The sequence below is a fragment of the Homo sapiens genome, chromosome 6 (genome assembly GCF_000001405.40).
Source record: "Homo sapiens chromosome 6, GRCh38.p14 Primary Assembly".
NCBI lineage: Eukaryota > Metazoa > Chordata > Mammalia > Primates > Hominidae > Homo > Homo sapiens.
The window spans coordinates 129,336,164-129,361,288 of record NC_000006.12 but is presented as its reverse complement, the minus strand read 5'-3'; the positions used below and the strand labels follow the sequence as shown (position 1 = coordinate 129,361,288).

Here is a 25,125-nt window from a genome sequence, read left to right as displayed (position 1 = left end):
ATTTTATTAGGAATTATGAAGAATAGGAAGGTTCTTCTCTCACTGAGCCCAAGTTCATCATTGTTTTAAAAGTTCCATTTGACCTCTAGTGAAGATGTATTTTGGGCAGATGTTCCTAGGATGCAAGCAAGCAATTTGCTCTTTTTTCACCTCCAAGATCTTTAAAGATACTTGGTAATGATAATAGGATGTTTCACCATGCTTTTTAGGGCAGTGTGTGCCTTTGATAGCAAACATTAAATTATTCTTTAATTTATTTAATAATATATAACCTACCTATTTCCAAGAAGGAATTGAATCAGTTTGTTGATAACAGGATGGCTAGATACTCCTTACTAGATGGTTCCAGAAATTTCCAAGGAAAGTACCTATCGTTTTCTCAGTTTTTACTTCATACAAGAATAAATCAGGGACCAGAATGCAGAACTAGAGCTGATGTACTGTAATATGCTACGGTGTACTAGAATGCCAAGAGGCATGATGAATACTGATTTTTCTCTCATTTATTCTATCCCCTGCCCATCTGTTTTGGTTCCTCATCTTCAGCTGTTGAAATGAAAATGTATTTAATTGCTCTTTCAAGGGCTCATACATTCCATTTTATGTTTCTGTGTCCAAAGGTTTATTATTATCCCATGTCTTATGGTATCTGTATTTGCTTTTTGGGGAACAAAGTACAAGCACATTTCCATAAGTGAAAGGTAAGTTTTATAGTACGCTCCAAGCAATATACTAACATCTGTCTGAATGGGTCAGAGAGACTTATGAATATGACAGCCATGGGGATTTTTTCAAAGCTTCTGTACAAGTCTAGCTCATGAAGTTATAAGGTAAACACATGGGGAAAGTGCCCTTTACATAATGGTTTGCTATTTTATTCTGACACAAAATATTTCACTTACACCAGAAGCTACTTTTATTTGCCCTCAAAAAGTCCAAAGTGTCTGGCAACAAACATTGGAAATGGAATGCAAATTAAAACCAAATGTAATTTACTATCATAGGGAAAATCTGAAGAGTGTGTAGAGACATGGAATATTCACATTCTGTAAACAACTGTTCTTTGATAAAGTGCAGTAATGGCTCAGTGTAAATGAACACCTATCTTACAATCAGGACCTCAAAGAACCTTTCCAAACCATTCTCCAAATTCAGCAATACTAATAAGGTTACAAAGTGAAATCCTGCCTAAAATGCACAGGAGCAAAAGCAAATATTTCAAGACCATGATTATATTTTACATGACTAAATGTTTCCGAGGCTTTGCCTATAAAAGTGTCAGGATAAATTTGTGTCTAATATTAACAAACACAGTACTAAATTCAGATTGTTATGGCTGGGCACATGTAAGGGGCAAATCATGCAGCCAGTATTACAGATCTTTCTGTTAGCAATTAGCACAAAATACTGCATTTCTACCAGGATTCCCCATGCATAATAACTACTGGCTTACTGTCACAAAAAAAATCACACACTGCATCCAAACCAAAGAAGCTGAAGCTAAAATGAGGACACTGAGTATTTTTGAAAGGGCGAAAGCTATTAACCAATTTTAGGTAGCGATACATAAATTCTCTGCTCTAATCAAATAGGAATAAAATGAGTAAATACACATTTTTAACAAAAGATAAAATTATGTGTTAATGTGTGTATGTTAAATTAACTCTCCTAGATGAATGCCATTGACGGTTCCCTGGATCTGAATTTTCTATTTCTCACTTCCCTTTTTCCCCTTCAAAAAGAAACTTTTACATTAGCATATATTTAGGGCTTATTAAGATGTATTTAGTCATTCTATTTTAAAATAAATATCTTCTCAAATAAAAATTTGATTCCAGAGTCATTAAGAAGACCTTTTAACCTGTCATTTCTTTGAATAGAGAGGAAAGCTGTAGACCTCAGCTGAGACTGATGAATTTGTCGACATACCAAGTAACGATATTTATGTTTTATATATATGTTTTATGATATGTGTTTTATATGTATATATTTTATATATTTTTATATATTAAATATTGATATATGTGTTTTATATATATTAAATAAAATTCTATATATAATACATGGGAAAACAAGTTCAATGTGGTTCAAAGATGGTGTAACTCTTCAAAACACTAATGGAAACTTTGAAAGTACTATAAATAATAATGGGATAATAGTTTTTATCTACACAACAGTCACTACATGACTGGCAATGTATTATACTTTGCCATCATTATCTCACTTAATATTTAAAGCAATTCTATGAGGTAAGTACCATTCATATCCTCATTTTACAGATGAGAAAAATAGTCACAACCAGAGTGTTTATGAATCTATAAATAATGCATGTGAAGGGCTTAAAGACAGGAGAAATGTAAGGTGGCCATAAAAGTGGTTTTCAGTGACTTGAAGAACCTAGAATTAGAGATAGTAACAGGAAACTGAAAGTCAGCCTAAACTAAAGAAAATATTTCATCAGAAACTGATGCGTTGCACAAAACATCAGGTCTTTGGGGAAAAAAATGGTCACATAATAACAATGATGATAACAATGCCTAGAATTTATTGAGCACCTATTATGCTTAGATACTTCACATACATGTATGTAGCATTTTACATCCATTTTACAGAGGATGAAAATGAGGTTTAGGAAATTAAATAATGTCACACAAATTGCAAGCTAGGTTTCAAACCTTCTGTAGCCACTTCATAACACCATGCTTCCTTGCATTAGGATGCTGTCTGTTTTGTGGATGTCACAGAAAAAGAGAAGGCTAGGCTAGTTTACTTATTTCTTCCAACTTTAAGATTATGTGATTTTAGTTTGTCTTTCAAGGTCAATAAAACCTCCTGAGCCTTGCCAGAGTAGAAATTGCAATCAAAGTAGAGTTTAGTTTACTCTTCAAATAAAACTTGCTGAAAACAAAGGCAACAGTGATCAGCTGTCTCTATACGATAATTCAACTGTGCAACTCCTTAATCAGCTAGCAGAACAGCTTCCTCAATAATATACAAACCACTGAGACTGATCTCTAACAACTAGGAAAATCATCTAGAATCACGGTGATAGTTGCCATTCCACACATTGTTAGCCTGGACCAATGCTAAGGTTGACAACAAGAAACTCAAATATCTTTTACTAACAAAACAAATGAGTAGAAGGTGCAAACAAGGTGAACAGAAGATGTTTTATAGATTGCCTAACACCTGGATGTGAACAACATGACACAGCTTAGACTACAGAAAACTATGACATACTTACTGTCCTTTCAAATAAGAACTTACTTGAGCAGTGAGTACGAGCAGAGAGAGGATGACATTTAGGGGGTACAACAAGCAAAGTGTTAGATCAGTAATCAGCATCTGGAGATCAACTGATGTTTATCATCATTTTTCAGAATAGTAAGTCCTGTTTTCATTACAGTGATAACCACATTCTATTTTGTTTCTGCTCCCATATATAGGGGGCAATCACTGCCATTATTAATCATTTTTGATTATAAATGTACAACAGTGTTCTAGTGATAATATATAAAGGTCTCTGCATTATTGTGATCAGATCTTTGGTGGCAACTGGCTATTAAAAACGACAATGTTGATTATATCTCTGTAGATCAAGATAGGATAAAACTTCAGACTTCCGGTTTCACCAAGTGGTTGGAAGTTGCCAATTTTACAGAGTTAAGGAAAATTACCACATTTAGCTAGGCTTATCTCAGGTTGCAAGTAGAAAACATAGTTCATGATCACTTTTGCAAATTGGCAAGCAAAGTGTATGTTTTATTTTAAATAAATATATGTTAGAATTTAAGTAAATTGTGACTATAAATAATAAAAGCTGATATATCCCAAAAACCCCACTATGCAGTGATTAAAAATAGGCAACACCAATTTGATATTTATAAAATGCTATTTCAGGCAATTTTTATGAAGTAATATCTTGCCAACAGATACTAATTTTAATTTCTGTTCTCTAGGAGAGTAATACATTTTACTATGCCACTCATAATCTATTTTAAACATCACATGGGTTATTCTGTGTTAATGATATGAGTTTACAGAAAATAGGATATGAACAAATCCAAGTTTTGTGTTTCAAAATACTAAACTTTACTGTTAAGCAAATAATGGCTTCTTTGTTCATTTTTAAGTTTCTTGAAGGCAGGTTAGTTGTTCTCATTTTATAAAATGACATGTGAACTATGAATGACAGTTGAAAGAGGAGGATGGATTTGTATTAACTTATCAAGAAGAAATCTTAATTTGGGAAATTAATAAAATATCTCTTCAGAACTCACCAACTTACATAACATTGTAAAGCTGTCCCAAATAATTCCTTTTAGAAAAAAAGAGGCTGTGAAGTTAATCTGGGCACCCAGCTAGTATCTTTTCTTCTGCATAGAAGACAGTCTCTACTTGACAATCTCTGATGAAAAGGAATCTACCATAAATGCCATAATGTTTTAAATCTTAGAGGAGTCTCAATGATTAGCAGAAAATAAATGTCATTACTGAGATTACATACACTTAAAATTTCTCATTTTGTAATTTTAGCTCGTTTTATATTTATTTTTAATCGAGGTAGAATGGGCTCTAAACATGGAAGCAGTAAATGAATAAAGGGCTGAATTCATTAATGTTGAATATACTGGCTAAACCACGTTTGCTTTCTCTGTTTATCAGTAGCCAGCATAGAGGTTAAGAAAATAAGATTTGTAAGACTGACCCATGCTCAAATCACGGATCTACTGAAAAGTCACTGAGAAAATGACTTAACCTACCTAAATTCAGTTCTCTTATCACACAGTGGGGATGATAAGGAATGGGAATGTTACAAGAATGAAAGAACCACGTGTAAAATGCTTAATATAGTGCCTGGCAAATGGTAAGTTCTCAGTCAAGGTGAGCCTTTAAATAAAATTACTATTATGATGAACCCTGTGTGGTAAAAGGGACTTTAGAGAATGCCTGGAATTTGAAGGTGAATAAATTGCTTAGTTATGCTCAGGAACTGACTCTGCATGGTGGGGCTGAATTTAGGTCACTAACTATGAGAGACTGTGATGTCTAAATAGGTTCCTAACGTGGACACAGATTATTTGTATACATTCTTCATGATAGTAGTGAAAATCCACATATAAAAGGCCTGTGTGCTGCAAAAAATTCCATTTTGGATCCAGTAAAATCCAGGGGTCACTGGCAACTGTCCCTGGAAGCTATAAGTATCTTTTAGGGACCAAGGTGTCCAAGGGAAGTCCTTTCACAGTTCCTGCATTGGCTTTGTTTTGCCTGATCTCTTCAGCAGAATTTTATATACTTTGAGAAATAAGAGCCTAAACTAAATTTACAGTGAGTGTATAGATTCCTTTCACCAATATGCAAATTACCTGAGATCACACAATGATCAGGCTTAGGTCATTTATCATGCATTTCTGTCTCTCTTTCTTTTCTTTTCTGTTTTTGAAATACACAAATCCATGATGTGGATCAGTCTAAATTATATTTCCCAGGGAAGTAACTAAAGGAAGCAAAATTAACTCTTGTACAATACATGCTACTAAACTGAGTGTTTACTTATTCTAAGCAATAGGAGAAAGTTTATTTCCTGTAGTCAGTACTATACTAACAACAAGCACTGCAGACATTTCTCTTACTACATCTAAATTCTCTTGCTAGAGCCAAGCTACCTCCCTTACTCTCACCCCCAGGCCTTATGCAATTCCACCATGATTACATGTGCTAAAACAGGTCCTGCAGATCAAACACCCCAGGTGAATCCATTTTTTGGTCTCTTGCACTAATTTAGCTTAAGGATACAGAAATATATTAAAAGGAAAATTGAGAATAAGTCAGAATTACATCCTCACTTGTGTCTTATTTTATCTGATTTCAAAACTAGGAGTAGAAGTAGAAACCGAATCCTGGGAAAGGCCAAGATCATAGAATCATGGCATATTTTTCCATAACGGGAGAAATTTTAGAAGAAGAGAAAAGATGAAAAGTCTAAAGATACTCTGTGTAACAATTCTTAGAGTTAGTTTAGTGAAAGGTGAAGAGAAAACATTCCTAGAAGTAAGTGGAAATCACTAATGCTTAAGAGCAGTATATGGAAAATCTATACAGCATAATTATAAGATAATTAACTGTGCTTTAGCAAAAGAGTCTAGATATCAAAAACAATCCTATAATTTAATATTTTTTTCTGGAATAAAAACTGCTATTCTTTTAAAAAGAATATAAACACTTCCAGTCCAGCAACTGAACTAAATACCATGTATAACCCCTGTAAATACATTTCCTTGTGGGGCAAGAATAAAGCAAATAAGAATTATAAAACTGGTGTAGCTTTGTAACTGGAGGATTGGCCCTTTTCTTAATATCACATGGGACAAGTGGAGATTAGAAACCCACATATGTGATAGGGAAAAGATGAATTACGATTTCTAATGATAAATGTATTCAAAATGTTAAAAAAGTATTGATCATCAACAATAAATGAAAAAGCCATTGTTGTTGATGGGCAGAATGCCAATTCTCTTTAAAAGAAATGTTCCCCAAATAATCCCATTATATTATCTACCCCAGATTTTAATGTACTATTGTTTAATTTTTGTGCTTAACATTAATATGATCTTTTTATTTCAAGTTTGCTTCTGGATAGTTAATAAAAGTGATGATTAATAATTCAAGGACTGTTTACATTAAGAATATCTATATATTATCTAGTTAATTATGTGCATGTTAATAATTTATTTGACTTGAAAGCAATATTATAAAATACTTTGATAGTCTACTTCTTTAATTATCATTAAAATATATCATTATACTTGGGAAGAATTAGTGTGTATATACTATCAACTAAATATGACAATATAAATGTATTTGACAGTACATTTAATCTCTCCCCTCTCACCTACCTTCACATTTATTTTCAGTGTAATACATTTTCATTAAAGATGGTTAAAATACAAAGAAAAAATGATTTTAAAATCTATTTTCCCAAATAACACCCAGTCTTAACTTTTTGGTGTATTTTTTAATCCAGCTTTAGCTTCTGAGGTTAACTCTTATAAAACTAGAACATAAACAAAAATTCTTCTATTTAAGATACTATTAAGATTTAGACTCAAACAATATGCTAAAACAAGAAATGTTGACATGCACAAATACTATTACAATAGGTAAATGTTGAAATAAAAGGTGCTAAAATAAATTTCCTTGAGGAAAAGAATACTATAGAAGAGCACTCCTTCCTTAAATTTATAAATAACCTATTTTGGATTTGAATGTATGCAAGATCCAAGAATTATATTTAGCTACTGATTTCAATGTACTTTCAATATGGCACTAGCGAATCCAGAATCAGTAAGAAAAAAGAGAGACAGCAAGAGAGCAAACTGCTCTCCACTTACTGTACGTGAGTAAAAATACTTGACTTCATTGTTACTGCTTACGGGTTTTGTAGTTCAAGAGAAAATTATGAAGCAGTATGCCCATGGATTTTCATAAAAGCTGGGAAAAGAAACATCAGTTGTCATTCAAGGCTTAAAGTATCTGTCCAGTCGATTACAAATTCAGGAGGATTCTAAATTTTTTAATACACTCACATCTTTAATCTGTCACAAAGGCAATGCCAACTTGAGGCAAAACTGTAAACCCTGAGATGGACAAATCAAATAAAATGCCTCCAGGAGCTTCATTGTAGGTCTTTCAATGAACTGACTAAAGCACACTGAGGATTTTCTCAGCTGTTCTTGGCTCAGCAGGATGGACACGCAATCAGCAGGTGAACAGCAGAAGGTGGATAGATAGTGTCAGAAAGAATGAAGAGTATAACTATTGCAAAAAAAAAAAAAAAGGCGGGCGGGGAGAGTCACTCTTTCTCATTGGAAATGAGACAGAACTGGAATCAAGGCCTCCAAAACTAACAGCAAAGTTAGTATACGTACAAACACACTCCCAGCCCTCGCGTGCATGCCAGTGCTTGCAGCCGTCACACTTCCTTCCCGTGGCTCCAGGTCGGCACGTGCAGAATCCTGTGACAGGGTCACAGGGCACAGGCAGTGAGCCATAGGGATCACACTCACATTCTTGGCAGGAGCCTCCAGGGTTGCCTGGACTGCCAGTATAGCCAGGGGCACACCTGAATTGAAACAGTGACAAAGCAAAAGAGGTTAATAGCAAGTCATGTCTCCACATTGTTGTGTGTGGTCTTTTGTTTTGATGCAACAAAACTGATAGCAAGAGTCCATACATTAGTTAACTTTTCCTGTAAAGGGTCAGATAGTAAACAGTAGGCTTTGCAGGACATAGGAAAAATCAAGATTATGCCGTGAAAAAGAAATAAAATTCTAAAGCATTCTGCTGTTGTTGATGGAATTGAAAACATTAATAATAATAATAATAATAATGTTAAATTACTTTGTAATATCAGGCTACTAATGAGAAGAATTGGATTCTTCCTGAGGTTTGAAATTATCCTTCATTTGGGTTATAACTTAGTGCCTCCTGTCATCAAATTGATTGTAAATGCTGACCTGTAACAACAGTTCTTAATTGAGTGCCATACAGAATCAGAAATGGGCCAAATTTGGCCTGTGGGTCATAGTTTGTCTGTGACTGCTCTAGATCATAAACTTTTTTGTTAAGTCCTCTTGTATAATTAGAGATGAGTGCAATTCTATATTGACTTCTGGGCTTCCCTATACTCATGAATTTCAGATCTCAAAATAACCAAATAATACAACCCATTAATTTTACCAATGAGGCAAAAGAGGCAAGTTAAGTGGCAATAGGCTACTCAGATTTTCTGTTTACTTTTATTCATCTTTTCTTTTTGCCATATCTTCCTCAAGATGGATTTTTCATGTGTATCTGTGGAAGTGGGTTAATGATATGCAAACAAAATATATAACACTGATTTGGAAAAGTAGAAAGAGAATCCAACTGGATGAACCCTAAATGCAGTCCATTAATTGACTCTTCCACGTATCTATGCATCCATTCACCTAAGTGTATTTCACTCCGTGTTATGACACTGGAAGTTTGGTAACTTTACACAATGCTAGCAGGGCCATACATTCTGGTTTGCCCAGGACAATTTCCTATTACCTGTTGTTTTGGCTTAATTGCTAAAAACACTGCCTGTTTTTAATATAGTGTCCCAGATTGGACAACAAGTTTTATATATGGTCAGTGTAAATATAACAAACAGTTAGAATTTTTGTTCAACAGGCAAGTATGTGAGGAAGTTGAGAGACAGTAGGGGATTGGAGCCAAAAGCTATAAATACTGGCAAGATAATCATAGACCATCTTTAGCTGCCTGAGACTGTGAAATCTGCATGGCTGACTGTGAAAGTTAATTCACCCTGTGCTGGTTAGAAAAGGCAAAACATGAAGAAAACGATTTGTGACATTAGGCTTTTATACATTCATGTTTTTGATTATTTTTTTCAATGAAAGAGTACAAATACTGAAAGTAGCATTTAAGTAAGTCCACTTAAATGGCTTCTTAACATTTATAGGTAAAATAATTGTATTCTAAGCAGATTCAGATTGATTAAATGTTCAAAGAGTTTATTACAAGAGTATTGAAAATAAAGTATGAGGAGAGGTTTCTATATTACAGGGATACTCAAGAAATTTAAGCAGTTTTAGACCTAACCTGATCAGTCTGAGCAGGTCGAAAGATGATTTAAATGATTTAAGAAGCTCTCAGCACTGGAACAAATTTATTTGGAAGGTTACAATAAAAATTTAACCAAGAACTTTGGTTTAATATAGCTGAATAAAGCAATTTTTCAGAGAAATATAACCTGATCATTTATATGTTAGAGATGATGAATGCAAAGCTATAACAATGTTTGAGGACTGGAAAAACACTTTAAGTCACTCACATTTGATACTGTATGGCCCTGCTCATCTCTATGCTACACAAACTGACAGCTTTTATCGATTAAATACTACTGGATATTAACAAATAAATTTTCTGTAATCATTCTGCTTTAACACAATAATTGTTATTTTAGTGTACCCTTCTAGCCTATTCTATACACATGCTTTTGTAGAAAATGGTAACTACAGTGTATAAATGTAGCTATATCATAATTTTTTTTTCATGAATTACTGTAGATAATCTTTTTGGTGTCCAGCGATGCTTTTAGTCACCATCCTACTGGTGTTTAAAGGTACAGGAAATAAATATTAGTCTAACCATGAATACCAAAGCTCACTGGTGGGTATTAACAAGTATGTACTTGTATCACCTATATCTATATCCAAAAGATGTATATATCTTCAGAACAAATGGAAATATTTTTAGATTTGGTGTTGCTATGAGTTATTTAATTGCTGCTAATTTCTGTTGGTATGGAAATTGTGAATCCACTGTTTTATATATATGCAAATATTGGATACTGTGTTTAGAGTTACCACATACGGATTTATTTAGAAATATATTTTACAAATGTATAAAAATTGCATTGGGATTTATAAAGCTTAACCCTAATTATTTAGTTACTTATTGCCATGATTAATACAGCTGTTGCTGGTTATATAAAACAAGACTCTTAAGTGGATGCTGATAATTAGTATTAGTTTATATTTACAAAGAAGCTTACCATTTAAGTGTTCCTAGGAGAATCTAGCAAAGGAGTGGGTGAAGCAGGACATGGAAAAGAAAAGCTCTAATCAAGGGTATGATTTCAGGTGATGTCCCAGTCTTAGCCTGATTCCATGGAGTGCTCTGGAGCATAAAATAAGATCTCAAAACTTGTTCCACTTAGGGGCCAAAGAGCTGGACTTTTGTACTCTCACGCTGGTTAGTCATGGGCCACTGCAGGAAGGGCGGGTAAACATTCAGGCCTTTCTGCCTCTTCTGTTGGAGAGAAGGCTTCAGTGTAGGTGCCTAGGCAGGGCACCAACAGTGTCCTTTACACACTTATTGTCACAATATTAGTGTAAAGTAGGTGGCCTATCAATGATTCCTGAGATTATAGATGAGGAAAATGGAATGTAGCTGAACTGTTGGAATTGAGCGAAGTCTATGGATCTTTCTAAAACTTTTATACTGCTATCAATTATGCTAAAACTATCATGTGTGTATAATGTTAGTAGTTAACATTAGTAACTCTCTGTTACATTAAAGATAATATCTAAAATATACCAAAAGTGGTGGTGACAAGTTTGAATATCCAGGATACTGATCTTACAGAAAATATATATCTGGAAGATATTAATTGCAACTTTTCTAGACAATCAGTTTGGAACTGTACTCCTTAATTTACCATTTGGATTACACTGAGAATTCAATTTAACAGCTGTATACATGCATTATGAGATTTCATAAGCAATATGGTAAGAGAAAACATTTAAATAATATTGTTTGCCTATTGAAAAGGAAAACTGAATAACAAATACTTTATTGTCTGGGTACTAATTAAAAATTCTTGATACTATTTATATTTTGAGTTATGTATACACTTGCTGGTGTAGTCATAGTGTTCAGAACAATGACGTGAATTCAGTTACTTCCAGACAATATTTTCCAGTGCATTAAAATAAGAAAAGTGTAGCCAGTTTCTTATTAGTAGTAACTACTGCTAAGCTTTTGAAAATTGATTTATTCTTATGAAATGTTATATTTACATATAAAATTATATATATATATATACTAAAGCATAAGTTAGATAATTGTAAATAGTTTGGAATCTTTGATAAAGTCTAAACATACGGTGGAAATAAACAACTTTCTTTGGACAAATTCTAAGATACACAAGTGGTTTTGAAAGCATTGTAATTTAAACTTCTAAAGGATATGCAAATATTGAAGTTCTTCAAATAATGAATGTTTTCCTATTGTGACCCTTTACCATATAGTCCCTACATATCATTACTCTGTACGTTTCATGGCTGTTGGTACCTTTCACAGTACTGGCCTTCATATCCCCGTGGACAAGCCGTGCAGCGGTAGTCGTCAAGTCCTTCTGCGACACAAGAGGGGCTGAAACTGAATCAGAAAGAAAAGGATTGCAAAAAAAGTTTAATCCATTTATTTTATAAAATAGTATTCCTATCCATGATCAAGGTTATTGGGACATACTTTTAGGTAGTAATAAATGCCATCTTTATAATTATTGCTGAAGTTCTTATTTAAGGCTAGGACGTCACAATGAAAAACCATTAATAACAGTAAACAAATATATATTGTTTGGTTTATGATGGATTAAAAATGCATCACACAAAGCATGTTAATATTCTGGAATTTAATAATGATGTGACAGCCATGAATATACTAAACATCCAGCAAAATTGTCCTATTGTTCACTAATCAAAAGAAAAATCTGACTAGAATTTATGCACATTGTCTGATAGTGGAATAGCTATTACTTAATATCTCTTAGGTTAAAAAAAGGGCATAAAATCTATATAAATTTTTTTTCTTGAAAACTCAGCCCAAATGGCCACTGGTGCTTCAAGACGTGAAGTGTGAATACATGTTTCACTTGGAATAAAATAATATCTTTTCTAATTTACATCCAGATTTCAAACTACATTTTACCTTGAACACAAAGTAATGTGATTCAGTGTGAGGAAAGGGAAAGCTTTTTCTATGAAAATGACTATTTTATGGTATTTTCTAATAATTAGGTCTTATAAAACTTCCCCAATGTTTTTACTACAATGCTGGTAGACCACAGCCAGTCTGTCTTGCTCCTGGATTTCTGATGATCTTATTCCATTAAAAAAAAAAAGACTCCACAAGACTTGAAAACTAAACTATATTAGCATGTAGTTTTGGGTTGTTACAAACTTCTCTCAGCTGCATTCCCGTTAGATAAAACTGAATGATGCATTGGAAACTTGGAAATTAAAAACATGTATCTGTGGCAGAAAGATAATGCTGCACACACCATTTTTCTTTTTGCTGCTTCACTAAATCAGTTGATGCTGAAAACAGGCAATAAGGTGTATAGGCCAGGCCCACAGCTCCTTTTGGTCAGGTGCCATTAGGACCTAATGTTAACTGTCTTCTAATGCGTTACATCAATAGTACATGAATGAGTAATAAGCTCTAACTTTTGCAAAATATGTGAACAAATTGATCTACTACTCACAAACGCATTATCCAACAAATTTATTTTTGCCTTCACAAAAAATAAACTTATAACTGACACACTCTGCCAAATTTTTAGCTCATTCATTTAAAGCCTGATACTGACTGCATCTGTGCATGCACACTCACGCACATGCACGCATACGCGAACACACACACACACTCTTATACATATATGGGCTCTAAGAAACAGATTTTAGACATTTCAAGAGAAACTCTAAAGAGCCAGTATGATTAAATTACATTTCGTTATAGTAAAATAATGAAATGTCAATAAAAAAATAATAAAGTGTTTACTGTATAGGAATGTAGTAATTCTTGAATAGTTGATACAATTTTTTTCAAATTATGATATTATGGTGGATTGCACTGTTTCCTTATATCACATAAAAGGTCTTCTGGAGGGAGTAGGGATTCCATCTCACTTGAAGCTTGAGTTTATTCTTTCTGTTCACAACTCCCTAATCTTCTCTCAATTATCATTTTGTCTGCAGGGCTACTCAGAAATCCTTGTGCTTTTCTCATGGTGACCATCTTTTACATTTCCCTATGGCTGCTAATTCCAAACTCCCCTCAACAGAATTTTTAAAATTTACAGAGCTTGCTCTCTGTGTCATCTCCTATGGACACTGCAGAGATAAATGGGCTTCCTGGAAACCATTTCCTTCTGGTTTTTATCCCAGTTCATTGGTTGTTCCTTTTCAGTTTCCTTTGTTGGATCTATGGCATGTCCTTGATCTCTTAACGTGCTTCACAATTCAGTTTTCTGATTTCTGTTCCCTTCTCCTCTCTCCTCTGAATGATCTCACTTAGTCCTAAGGGATTTAAATATTGTGCCTACCTTCGCAGATCTAAAAGTAAGTTTCTCCCCCTCCAAAAATACACCAGACCTTTCCCTAATTTTCCCCATCCCAGTCAACAGCCACTCCATGTTTCCATTTGCTCTGCCAAAAACCATGGTGTCAACCGTGTCTCCTCTCTCACACTCCACTTATCTCCTATCTGCAAATGCTGCTGGTGCTTCCATCAATAACACCACTGGATTATCCTGTACCAAGCCACCTCTTGCCACTGGAAGATTTTTAGCCCTCAGGAGAGTTAGATATTCATTAGAGCTTTGCTGACTTCATCTCCTAGCCCCCTCTTCTCATTCACTCTGTTCCAACCACCCTGGCCTCCTGTTATCTGCCAAGCATGGGTCTGTCTCAGGGCCAGTGCAGTGACTTTTTTCTCTGAGGGGACTGTTCTTCCTGCAGGTATTCACATGGCTCACACCATTCACATTTCTGCACAAGTCTCATCTGTTTGTGAAGATCATGGACCACCTCATCTAAAATCATACCTTCATCACTCTAAGTTCCTTGAGTCTCCTTTATTTCTCCTGGTAGTACTTGTCATTACCTGATATTACATTATATATCTATTTCTTTATCTTACTCTCTTATAAAAAATACAAGCTCCAGAAGGCTAGGAAACACAGGCCGTTTTGTTCACTTATATATTCCCAGTACGAAGAGCCATGCCTAGCATTGAGTTGGGCCCTCATTAACTTTTTCTTGAATAAAGAAAGAAATAAGACATTATGTTTACCTTCAAAGAATTTACAATTCTGTGTGAGACACAGATATGTACACATACAGGACAGGACACATATCTTTTATCTTTTATTCATAGTGTTGGGATGAAGTATATGCTTAGTAAATGTTCATCTCCTGAAAGAATGATTGAAATAATTCTGTATAGTAAAATGTGTTCGTTGTATATAAAATGTACAAAATACATTCTGTGCTATGGATAGGTTTTGTGGCAGAGGTAGGGTTTGAAAAATGCCTTTAAAAATAAATTAGATTTCACAGGGATTGTCTGAGGGAATAGCAAGAGCAGACTGCTAATGATGTCTAGATAAGTGCAAGAAATGCCAAACTTGGCATTATATAGAATGGAGTTGAGGGCTTGGAGCCTGGAAAGGTAGTCAGATTACAGAGGGTTTCTAATGCTCAAAGAGTCTGATCTTTCCTTGGGAAGGCACTGGAAACTTCTAAGGGTGTGTGAGCACTGCCACTCCGTCATAAGAGTTAAATTTCTACCATATTTGTTTTGGTAAGAGATAATGAGGACTTGAACTAATGCCGTGGAAATGAGTCAGTAATCACTCATCATGCCTCCATATTTCTCACTGACTGCACAGATTGAAGTCATAAATTGAGATATCTCAGCCTCCTCCATCTATTCCTCAGAATCTGTTTTTATGTCTTGGGGAGAAGTGCCTCTTTTCTTTGCCCTGGCTGGTTTCTTTGCTTCACATTTTAATTCTTCTCTTCTCACAATTTATAGGTCTTCACTTTGTTAATTAGCCTAATACGTCCCAAGCTTTAGATGGTGATATAAGTGACTCATGAAATCCATTGAGTAGGTTTTGGCTAAAATTTTTTTTCTAAAAATGTAAAATAACAAAATTAAATAAATGGCATGGTGTATAATACATATATTTAGATATCTACACACACAAGTTTTTGTGTGTTTCTGGCTTATGATATAAAAAAGTGTATCTTACAGTGGATGCAATCAATAAAGTTTGAAAGCCACTGAACTTGCCATTTTAATTTGATATTTTGATTCTTTCAGGGTCTTTTGCATAAAAATTTACTCAAATTATACAAATCATATAAAACAACAATGAAACAAAAATGAAAACACACCCTGTTATTGATCCTGCTAACCAATCAGGGTAGTATTCTATCATTTTATTCTTGAAATTTCTTAAAACTGTAAATTCAAATTCTGCTTTCATTATTGATGGTCAAAATTCATCAATGACTCTGAGAGTGTAACTACAGGACCAACCAAAACCGGGCCTACCCTGTTGATAACAAAATGTCAAGTTACCTTTTAGGTATAACAGAGCCAAAAGCTGCAAGTCATGTAGCCCAGGCATGTTCAATAGAAAAATTTTGACCTCTAACAACACCAGGAACCAACTATTCCTCCCCTTGAACCAACAAGACAGGGACAAAATCAAAACCTGGACATTGGAACTCCTTCAGAAATGAGGGGTCCATTGGCCCAGAAGATCCAGGGCTAAAATCTGCCTCAATATACCTTACTGTAAGTGATCAAATTTGAAGCCCTCCAATCAGACTCTGCCAAGCCAGCATTTCTAAATCCTTTGCCTTGCCTTCTGACCCCTTGCAACCTTCCCCATATCCCAAATTAGGGAGACAGATTTGAACCTGACTCTTGTCTCCTTGCTGAACAATTTTGCAGTAAAGCCTTTCTTTTCTCCGAAGCCAGTGCCAACGTTATTGGCTTCTATGTGCTTCAGGCGGCAAGCCCATTTATTTGCTCAATTACAATAGTCAATTGCCACCATATTCATTGGGTCTCCCTTGTGAGAGCAGCAACTGATGCTGTTCACTGCTCTTCTCTCCCTTGGTGTCAATGGCAGTGCCGCCTGGGTTCCCTCTCTTCTGACTGCTCCTGCCTTGGCTCTTCTTTTTCTCCTTTCCCAACATAAAGTCCTGTCTTTCATTCTTTCTATATACTCGCCTTGGATAACATTAGCCTGGGAAATCTTATCCAACTTTAATTCACTTATTAACATATCTCTTCCTTCATCTGCTCCTGCAATTTTCAGATTTCCATTTCCTGCAGCTATTTGCATATTTCCATTCAGACAGATATGTTCTATCAATCTGAACCTATTTGAAACATAAATTATCTTTCTTCTCTAACGGCTCTCTCCTGGTTTCTCCATTTCAGTTAATAGCACCACCATTTTTGGGGGTAACCTGCCTAAAAACCTGTCTTCAACTTCTGCCCGGACCCTCACCCCTCACATCTAATTAGTTTCCGAATCTGTAAAGCTGTATTAAACCATTTTCTCACATTCATTCCTTTGTCTCCATTCTTATTACTATTACCTACTTCTGGTTCTAATTATCTTTTGCCCATGCTAGTATACTAGCCTTTTAATTGGTCTCTATGCTTTTCTCATTTGCCTGTTTCAATTCATTATACTCAATTCTATGATAATAGTTTTCCTAAAATGTGGCCATAATCATATTAACCTTTTTTTCAAAATAAAAACTTGTAGTGTTTCCTTATTACATAGAAAATTAAATAACTATTTCTTAGACTGGTATTTAAGGATTTCTACAATATGGTCTTTATTCTCCCATTCATTTTCATCTGTGATCATGAAATTGTGTCTGAACGCCATGTTCCAAATTCTGTTACTTATTAGGTTTTGCACATGCCTTGTATTTTGTAAGCATTTGCCCATATAATTTCCTACTATTCCCACCAGTGAAAATCCTGAAATTAATTGTTTAAGACCCATTATACATGCTACTATTTCTTTTCATATGTTCTTGAAGCTTCCAGTATTAAGTGTGGTGTTTTGTGCCTTTGAATTTTCTTTACATTTAAGTTGATACCCCTTAACACACAGGTTTTACAGTGAGCTCCTCCAAAAAATGGCATGCTTCTCTTGTATATCTCCTGTAGCTTTTATTATAGTGTACTCACCAGGGAATTATCAATTAATTATTAAATTTTTCTAATCCAAATGGCTTACTTTTTAAAACAATTAAATAAATCGGGGCATCAAGGAGAAATTAGGGAAAGAGAGACAAAAATAATGTTATTTTTCATACACATACTACTTGGTCCCTGGATGAACAATAAGACCATGTATATTATCCTCTTCAATATCCAGCTTACCTAAAAATTGACATTTGACACCCTGTAAAAGGCTTGTGATTCCAGCCAACAAAAAAGAGGAGCTTTCAGAGGAAAAGGAGATGATTTACAGGAAATGTTTTCAGAATGCACACAAAGCCGAAGATTAAGAAGAAAGTGAGTAGGCACAGGTGCAAAGATCACATTGTCCAAATTGCTCTGTGGCTGTTTAACACTCAAGATAAAGTGTCCAGAATTCTAATTCTGAACAAACTGCCATACATTATTTTCAAAAGCAAATTCTTAGAGTAAAACTACCCTGCCTTACTGAAGTCTATAAATCACTTAACAGAAAGTGCAGGTAGTGTGGGCAAAAAGGTAAATGAAAACACCTAGGGTTTTCATCAATGTATAAACCAGTGCAGAATGTTCAGACAGCACTGAAATAAGATATTCCAGCTTTTGTTTCTTCTTAGGGCTGTGTTTCCATGGTACCAAGCTCAGACCATCTTAAGAAAAAGGAGGCTGTGATTCCGGGAGATGACATTTTTTGGAGCATAACAATAAGTCACCTGCTTTAATTGTACAATTTTTCAATGTTTTCTTGATAATTATTTCCCAATCTTGAATTAAACACATAAAATAAATGGAAACAGCCACAAAAATTATATAATATGCACCCGAACAATCCTTCATAGATGATATTATGGGCAGAGCTATATGCAAGCATTAGACTGGTATATTTATGAAACCATGCATATTTGTATATATATATCATTTGTTTTATAAATATGTCTTACATTAATATTGGTACTTCAATTTTAATTAATAAGTATTATTTACTTGGGACAGAGTTTCAAAGGAAAAATGAACCATAGAGCATTATATACTCACTTTTGTCATGTTTCTATATTATTAAAAATATCTCTATCTTAAATTGAGATTTTTGTCTACATGGAAAAAATAGCCAAATCATAGACAGCCCATGTGCTAGACAGATGGCGTTTCTGATTGGGAAATATGGTTATATTTCTCAATCTTACTTGTTACTGGAAGAAATCAGAGGGCAGGCACATTGCTGACAGTCATTTGGCAATCCCTTGACAATTCCATAGTATCCAAGAGCACATCGTTCACAGAAGTCACCAGCAGTGTGATGTTGACAATTCTGTAAAGGAAAAGGGAGAAGAAGTTTGTTTTTAATTTAGTGATAGTTAGAATGTAATTTATCATACAGTCCCTAGCTATGAATGTGTGTCTATGAACACATATACTTTCTTACACACACACACTCACACACACACTTTATCACTGACAGAGAACTCAGTCTTTGATATAAATATTTTTAAAGGAACTCTTTGATTTGAGAAACTAATACTGTGCTATCGTAGCTACACTGACAATAAGAGTTGCTATTCTCTTTTCCCTGAATCAATCTCTATGTAAATTTTTCTCCTACTCTAAATTGGGGAATAGACTTCGAGTCTCTAAAATTTATTATTTCTTCTAGGCATTTATGTTTCTTCATATCCCAGGTTTTAGCTCTATGAGATGTTAGAAAAAGGTGCTACAAATACTGTGGCCTTGGCACATGCCCACTAGTGGGCTTTCTGAAACCACCTCAAGGTGGAAAGCATAGATGTAGGTGGTTCTTCATAAATACAGAGGAGTCAATCTAAAACTAGCAATCTCAGATCGATATCTTCTTTCTTATGCTTGCATAATAAGAGACATTGGGGTGATACCCTTTAACACCTTTCCACAAAGAAATGAGAATAGCTTCAGAATAGTGTGCAAATAGCTTCAAATTAAAATTTTCATGAAGCAGAATTATATTTAACACAATAATCAATTATGCAATAAGGAGTTAGGAAGAGCTACATGGAATGCACTGAAACAGGCAATGAAAGAACATCCTACCTTCTAGAAATTTACTTAGACTTTGGGAAAATAATAATTTAAAAAAACCACCTGACAAAAAATAAACATGGCAGCAAGAATGCAACATTGAATGTTATCTTGTGGGAATGCGATCCTTGCATTTGAGAGTTGAGAAAAAGGAAGAAGGGAATTTGGAATTGAATTTTAGCTGGATTTTATAAGACAGGATTTGGAGTGGTCAAAATAGTGACTTACATCTTATAAACAATATCGAAAGAAAAGTTGAGAAACAAAAAAGTCAGTTACAAACTAGATGGACATGTTAGTGAATTGACTTCCTGATAATCTCAGCTGGAGCCACGAAGCCGCCAGCTTGAACTTGGATGATATCCCATAGACTGGGCTCTGCTTCATTTAGTCAATCAAGAAGAATGTATTTATGTTTCATGTGTCTTCTAATGGCCAGACAATTGTTGGTAGGGAATGTGTGGCAATTCACAACAAACAATAGCTGACGTCATTTCCACCACAGATATTGCCATGGAATTAATGTTTGTTTAAAACTTCTATTAACTCTTTTTGAGAGTTTATGCTATTTCTTGCAGTGAAACTATGACATTGCCACAGTGAATTTTAGATCATTTATTTTTTACATTTTTGGTGTTATATTTGAAATTATATTGTGACATTTACAGATTTTATAACAATGTGAAATGAATCTGGTTTTCCAATATGACAAGGTACAAGTCTTTTCTTTTCTTTTCTTTTCTTTTTCTCTTTTTTTTTTTTTTTTTTTTTTGAGACAGAGCTCTGTCGCCCAGGCTGGAGTGCAGTGGCACCATCTTGGCTCACTGCAACCTCTGCCTCCTGAATAAAGGGATTCTCCTGCCTCACCTTCCCGAGTAGCTGGTACTACAGGCACATACCACCACGCCAGGCTAATTTTTTGTATTTTTAGTAGAGATGGGGTTTCACCATGTTGGCCAGGCTGGTCTTGAACTCCTGACCTCAGGTGATCCACCCACCTCAGCCTCCCAACGTGCCCAGCCAATCTCAAATCTTCTACTTCTACACCTTACCCTACTTTAAGAGATAAGAAAGCTCTAATTTGGATGCTCCCTTGGTTTCCTGGCAAACAATTCAGTATATTGCCACATTATTTTCCATCCCTTTGACATTTGTTTCCGTCCTTTGTCTGAAGCTACTCCACTCCTAAATTGGTTTCCTTTCCTCCTGCCTCCCCATTTTCTCCACCATCTTTATTCCCTCCTTTGCAGGCTCATTCTCATTAATATTTGAAATTGGTCAAGCCTTTCCTGTCTTAAAAAAAAAATCTGTGAGGTCTCAAATTGCTTGACAATTTCTATCCTATTTTCGATAAGCTTTTAAAAAGACATTGTTTACATTCCTGGTCTCTACTTCTTCATCTCCCATTCTCCCTTTAAACAGGCTTCTGGTTTCACCATTAAACATAATACCAGGATGACCCATAAGATCTTTGTTGCTAAAGCAAAACTTACAATCATCAGGCCTCATATGTAGGTTTTCTGTAGCCATTGATAGATATTTCTGGATACTCTCTTCCCATGGTTTCTTTCTTTCTTTTTCTTTCTTTCTTTTTTTTTTTTTTGAGACAGTCTCGCTCTGTAGTCAGGCTGGAGTGCAGTGGCACCATCTCAGCTCACTGCAACCTCTGCCTCCCAGGTTCAAGCGATTCTCCTGCCTCAGCCTCCTGAGTAGCTGAGATTACAGGCATGCGTAACCATGCCCAGTTAATTTTCGTATTTTCAGTAAAGACGGGGTTTCACCATGCTGGCCAGGATCGTCTCCATCTCTTGACCCCGTGATCTGCCTGCCCTGGCCTCCCAAAGTGTTGGGATTACAGGCGGGAGCTGCCGTGCCCAGCCCCCATGGCTTCTTTAAGAGTAAGCCAGTTGATGTTTCTCCTACTTCTGCGGCTACTCGAATTCTCCTTTATCGACTCTTCCTTCCCTTTCTGTTCAATATAATTGACGCCCTTAATTCTAACTTTGGTCCTCATCTCTTTTTTCTCCTCCACATTTACCTTGGTGATTTCATCCATTACTATGACTTCAGTTAATGGTGTGCCCAAAACTCTGTATTTTATGTATTCAGCCTGGATATCTCTAATGGGTTCCAGACTTCTGCTTCTAATTGCTTCTTGAATAAATATTGTATAACACAGAAGCGTCTTAAATTTGAAATGACAACAATGAAGTTCATCTCTTGCTAAACCTTGTAATACTCCTGTATTTCTCGTTTCATCTGAGGTCACTGTCATTCACTCAATTGCCAAGGTCAGCAACCTAGAGGCCTCTCTTATCCGAGGTATCCATTAGATCATCAGTTCCATGAGTCTATTACTCTCTGTTTCTTGACTTTCTTGTTGCTACTATTTTCATCTGGCCACTGTCATATTTTATTTGGATTATTAGAATAGCCTTTTAGCTAAAGATCCTGTCTCCATATTTTCTTATCTGGTGATTTCTCCACACTGCAGAGTGATCATCCTATGAACATATCAAACCATGACCTTCTCTTGCTTGAAAGCCTACACTAGCTCCCAAATGCAGTCAGGATGAATAACAAATCATTAGCATGGCAAGGAAGAGCTTCATTACCTGCCACCCCCACCCCCGCCTTCACCACCACTGTGCTTACCCCTCCATATGTAGCTGTAGCCACTGCTTTCTTTGCATATAATGCCGTAGCCACATGGGGCCATCTGAAATTCTCAAATTATGCGGATACTCTTTATCACTGCTGGGACTTTTCATTTGCAAATCCTTAGCTCTACAGTGTATATCAGGCTAGCACTTATTCATTTCAGCTCTCATTTTAAATGTCACTTTCTCTGAGAAACATTCCCCGATGACCTAAAACTGGCTTAAATGCTCCTTTTAGTTCATCAAACATGGGAGGCATTCGATGACTATTTTGAATGACTGAATGAATGAATGCATGTTCCAGGAAGTATAGATGAAACTGGTCAGGCTTTTTCAGATGAAAAAGCCCAAATTTCAAGTGTCATTGCAGAAAAGTGGTTAGCAGGGCAAAATGATTTGTCATATTTTGCCATTGATTTAAGTGCCATAATCCTCTTTTATTCAACCATCCAAAGGAACCACCATTTTTAAGCAATAAAAGAGCCATTCCATATTTAACAGTAGCATTATGAGAGATAATGGCTCCAAGATAAAATAATTATCTATGAATTATAATTTCAAGTCATTCAGCAAGGTGTCATGCTGATGAATAAGTGTTAACTGGGGAGTGTTTTAAGAACTTATTTTATAGAGATGAATGTGCCAAAAATACATGGGATCTTCAACAATAATTTTCAGCCTTTTGCTTTTGCAGTAAAATAATTGCATAATGAATTATTTTATGTAACCTAAATATAACATTAGTAACTGAATTAAAATCCTTAAAGCCAATAATCATTACTAAAAATAAGAGATTCAAAAATATGATTTTGTTTCTCTTATACCTGTAAGTCTACATAATTTCTTCAACAGAGAAAGCAAATATTGTAATATTCTCTGGACAGTCAATCTTCTCAATCTTTCAGAGGGTTGCTGACATACTAAACTTGGTTAATTGAATCAAATGTCCTGGTTAGGTCCACAAACACACAACACATAAATCAGGAGCCTCTTTTTGAAACTTTTTTGACATACCCTTTTCATATGACTTTTCTGTCTGCTTTGAAATAGTGTACATAGTATTTTTTCTTATATAAAAATTAGCCATTAGGGGAAATTCCTATATTTTGGATGCCTAATGAGAAGTTTAATTATATTCTCAAGAGTGGTATGTGCTAGTATCTCTTCAATAATACATCAGAATATATTAGATTTGTTAAGTTTTTTTTTGCACACTGGAAAACTGTTGGTATATATTCCTTCTACAAAATCAAATGACTATAACATTAATATTATAGTATCTCAGGCCTAAGGTGAGAAATTACTTAATCTAACCTTCTTGCCATACAGGAATGCCTTCTATACTTTCCTTGAGATATCATTAAATGCATGAATTCTTATAAGACAGCTTTTTTCGTCTTGCATAAGCTGTGAAGTTTTTCCTTACGGTGAATAAAAATTTGATGCATTCTAATTTTCAGTGAGTGATCCAAGTTCTGCCTTCTGAAGCTATGAAAATTAAGTCTAATTCCCTTTTCCTAGGGAAGGTCCTCAAATATCTAAGAATACTATTACTTCCTAAATCTTTGTTTCAAGCTAAACATTTAGCAATCTTACTCAGGGTTTCTTTCAAAATATAGTAGATTATAAGTCTCTAGCTGTGACTTGCAAATATATTAAATGTACTTCCTCCCTTGATTTGGATCTTATACAAATAGCAATGCCCTGTGTTGGCACCTAGTGAATCTGCAATCAAGTAAGGACTCTTACTTCACATGAATTGCTAATATGTGTCATTTCCTCTGTTCTTTCCCCTAAACTAGAGAATAAGCTCCTAGAGGGCAAGACCCATGCAGTCTTCATATTCTTACTATCTACCATAGGCCATAGACCTGCATGTTGGAAACATAATTAACAGATGCCACAGGAATGAACAAACAAGTGAGCTTACCTGAGTTCAAATCTTTTCTATTAATCTCATCTTGTTAACTGTAATTCATAGTATCATCTGTCAGGATATTTTCCCACCATCCAACACATTAGATAATACTTTCAGCTTTATATTATCTGAATATTTGATAGATATCATCCAAAGCATTTACAGATATTTTGAACACAACAAGGTCAAATACAAAGCTTACGCCTCATCATTGGAGATATCACTAGAGTGTACTCTGGGTCACATTTTTTTAGCAACGTATATGCCCATCAACCTATCAGCTGGCTAACATCTGGCTCATATTTTCAATCTTGTGCACAAGGATACTATGAAATAGCTCATCAAACATCTATTTAAACAAACCAGCATTTGAAACATGGATATGGCCTCTGCTGTTTTATGACTTAAGCAAGTTATTTAATTTCTCTAGCATCAGTTCATCAACAATAAAAGAAGAAATAATCTTGTCTATCTCATAAGTTTATTGTAACAATAAATGAGAAAATCTCTGTACAGTGACCTGTTTTGGTCCTGGTACATACACAGTTTTGGACACATAATAGCAGTTATTATTTTTTGCTGAATTTGAGATATGATGTATCACATTGTCTGATAAACTTGATATTTTACTGGGATTTAGAAAACTAGGTTTTCAGATATTATATATACAGTAAACCTAGCACTTAGTTTGATATGTGTTATTTTGAATGAACCTATTCTTTTTTTTAATTTTTAATTTTTTGTAGACACAGGGCCTTTGTTGACCATGCTGGTCTCGAACTCCTGGATCCTCCGCTCTTGGCCTCCAAAAGTGCTAGGATTACAGGCATGAGCCATTGCCTCTGACAAAGTGAACCTATT

At 35.0% G+C, this 25,125-nt stretch overlaps 1 protein-coding gene across 2 annotated transcripts in view; it reads right to left on the bottom strand.

Moving 5' to 3' along the window:
- Positions 1-25,125, bottom strand: part of LAMA2 (laminin subunit alpha 2) — a 633,429-nt gene that overhangs the window by 155,278 nt on the left and 453,026 nt on the right. For both annotated transcript variants that reach the window (NM_000426.4, NM_001079823.2), the window contains exons 30-32: positions 18,822-18,946; positions 11,905-11,991; positions 7,932-8,125 (exon numbers count right to left, since the gene is read on the bottom strand). In NM_000426.4, the coding sequence (NP_000417.3) occupies positions 7,932-8,125; positions 11,905-11,991; positions 18,822-18,946 (406 nt within the window). The remainder of the gene's footprint in view (positions 1-7,931; positions 8,126-11,904; positions 11,992-18,821; positions 18,947-25,125) is intronic.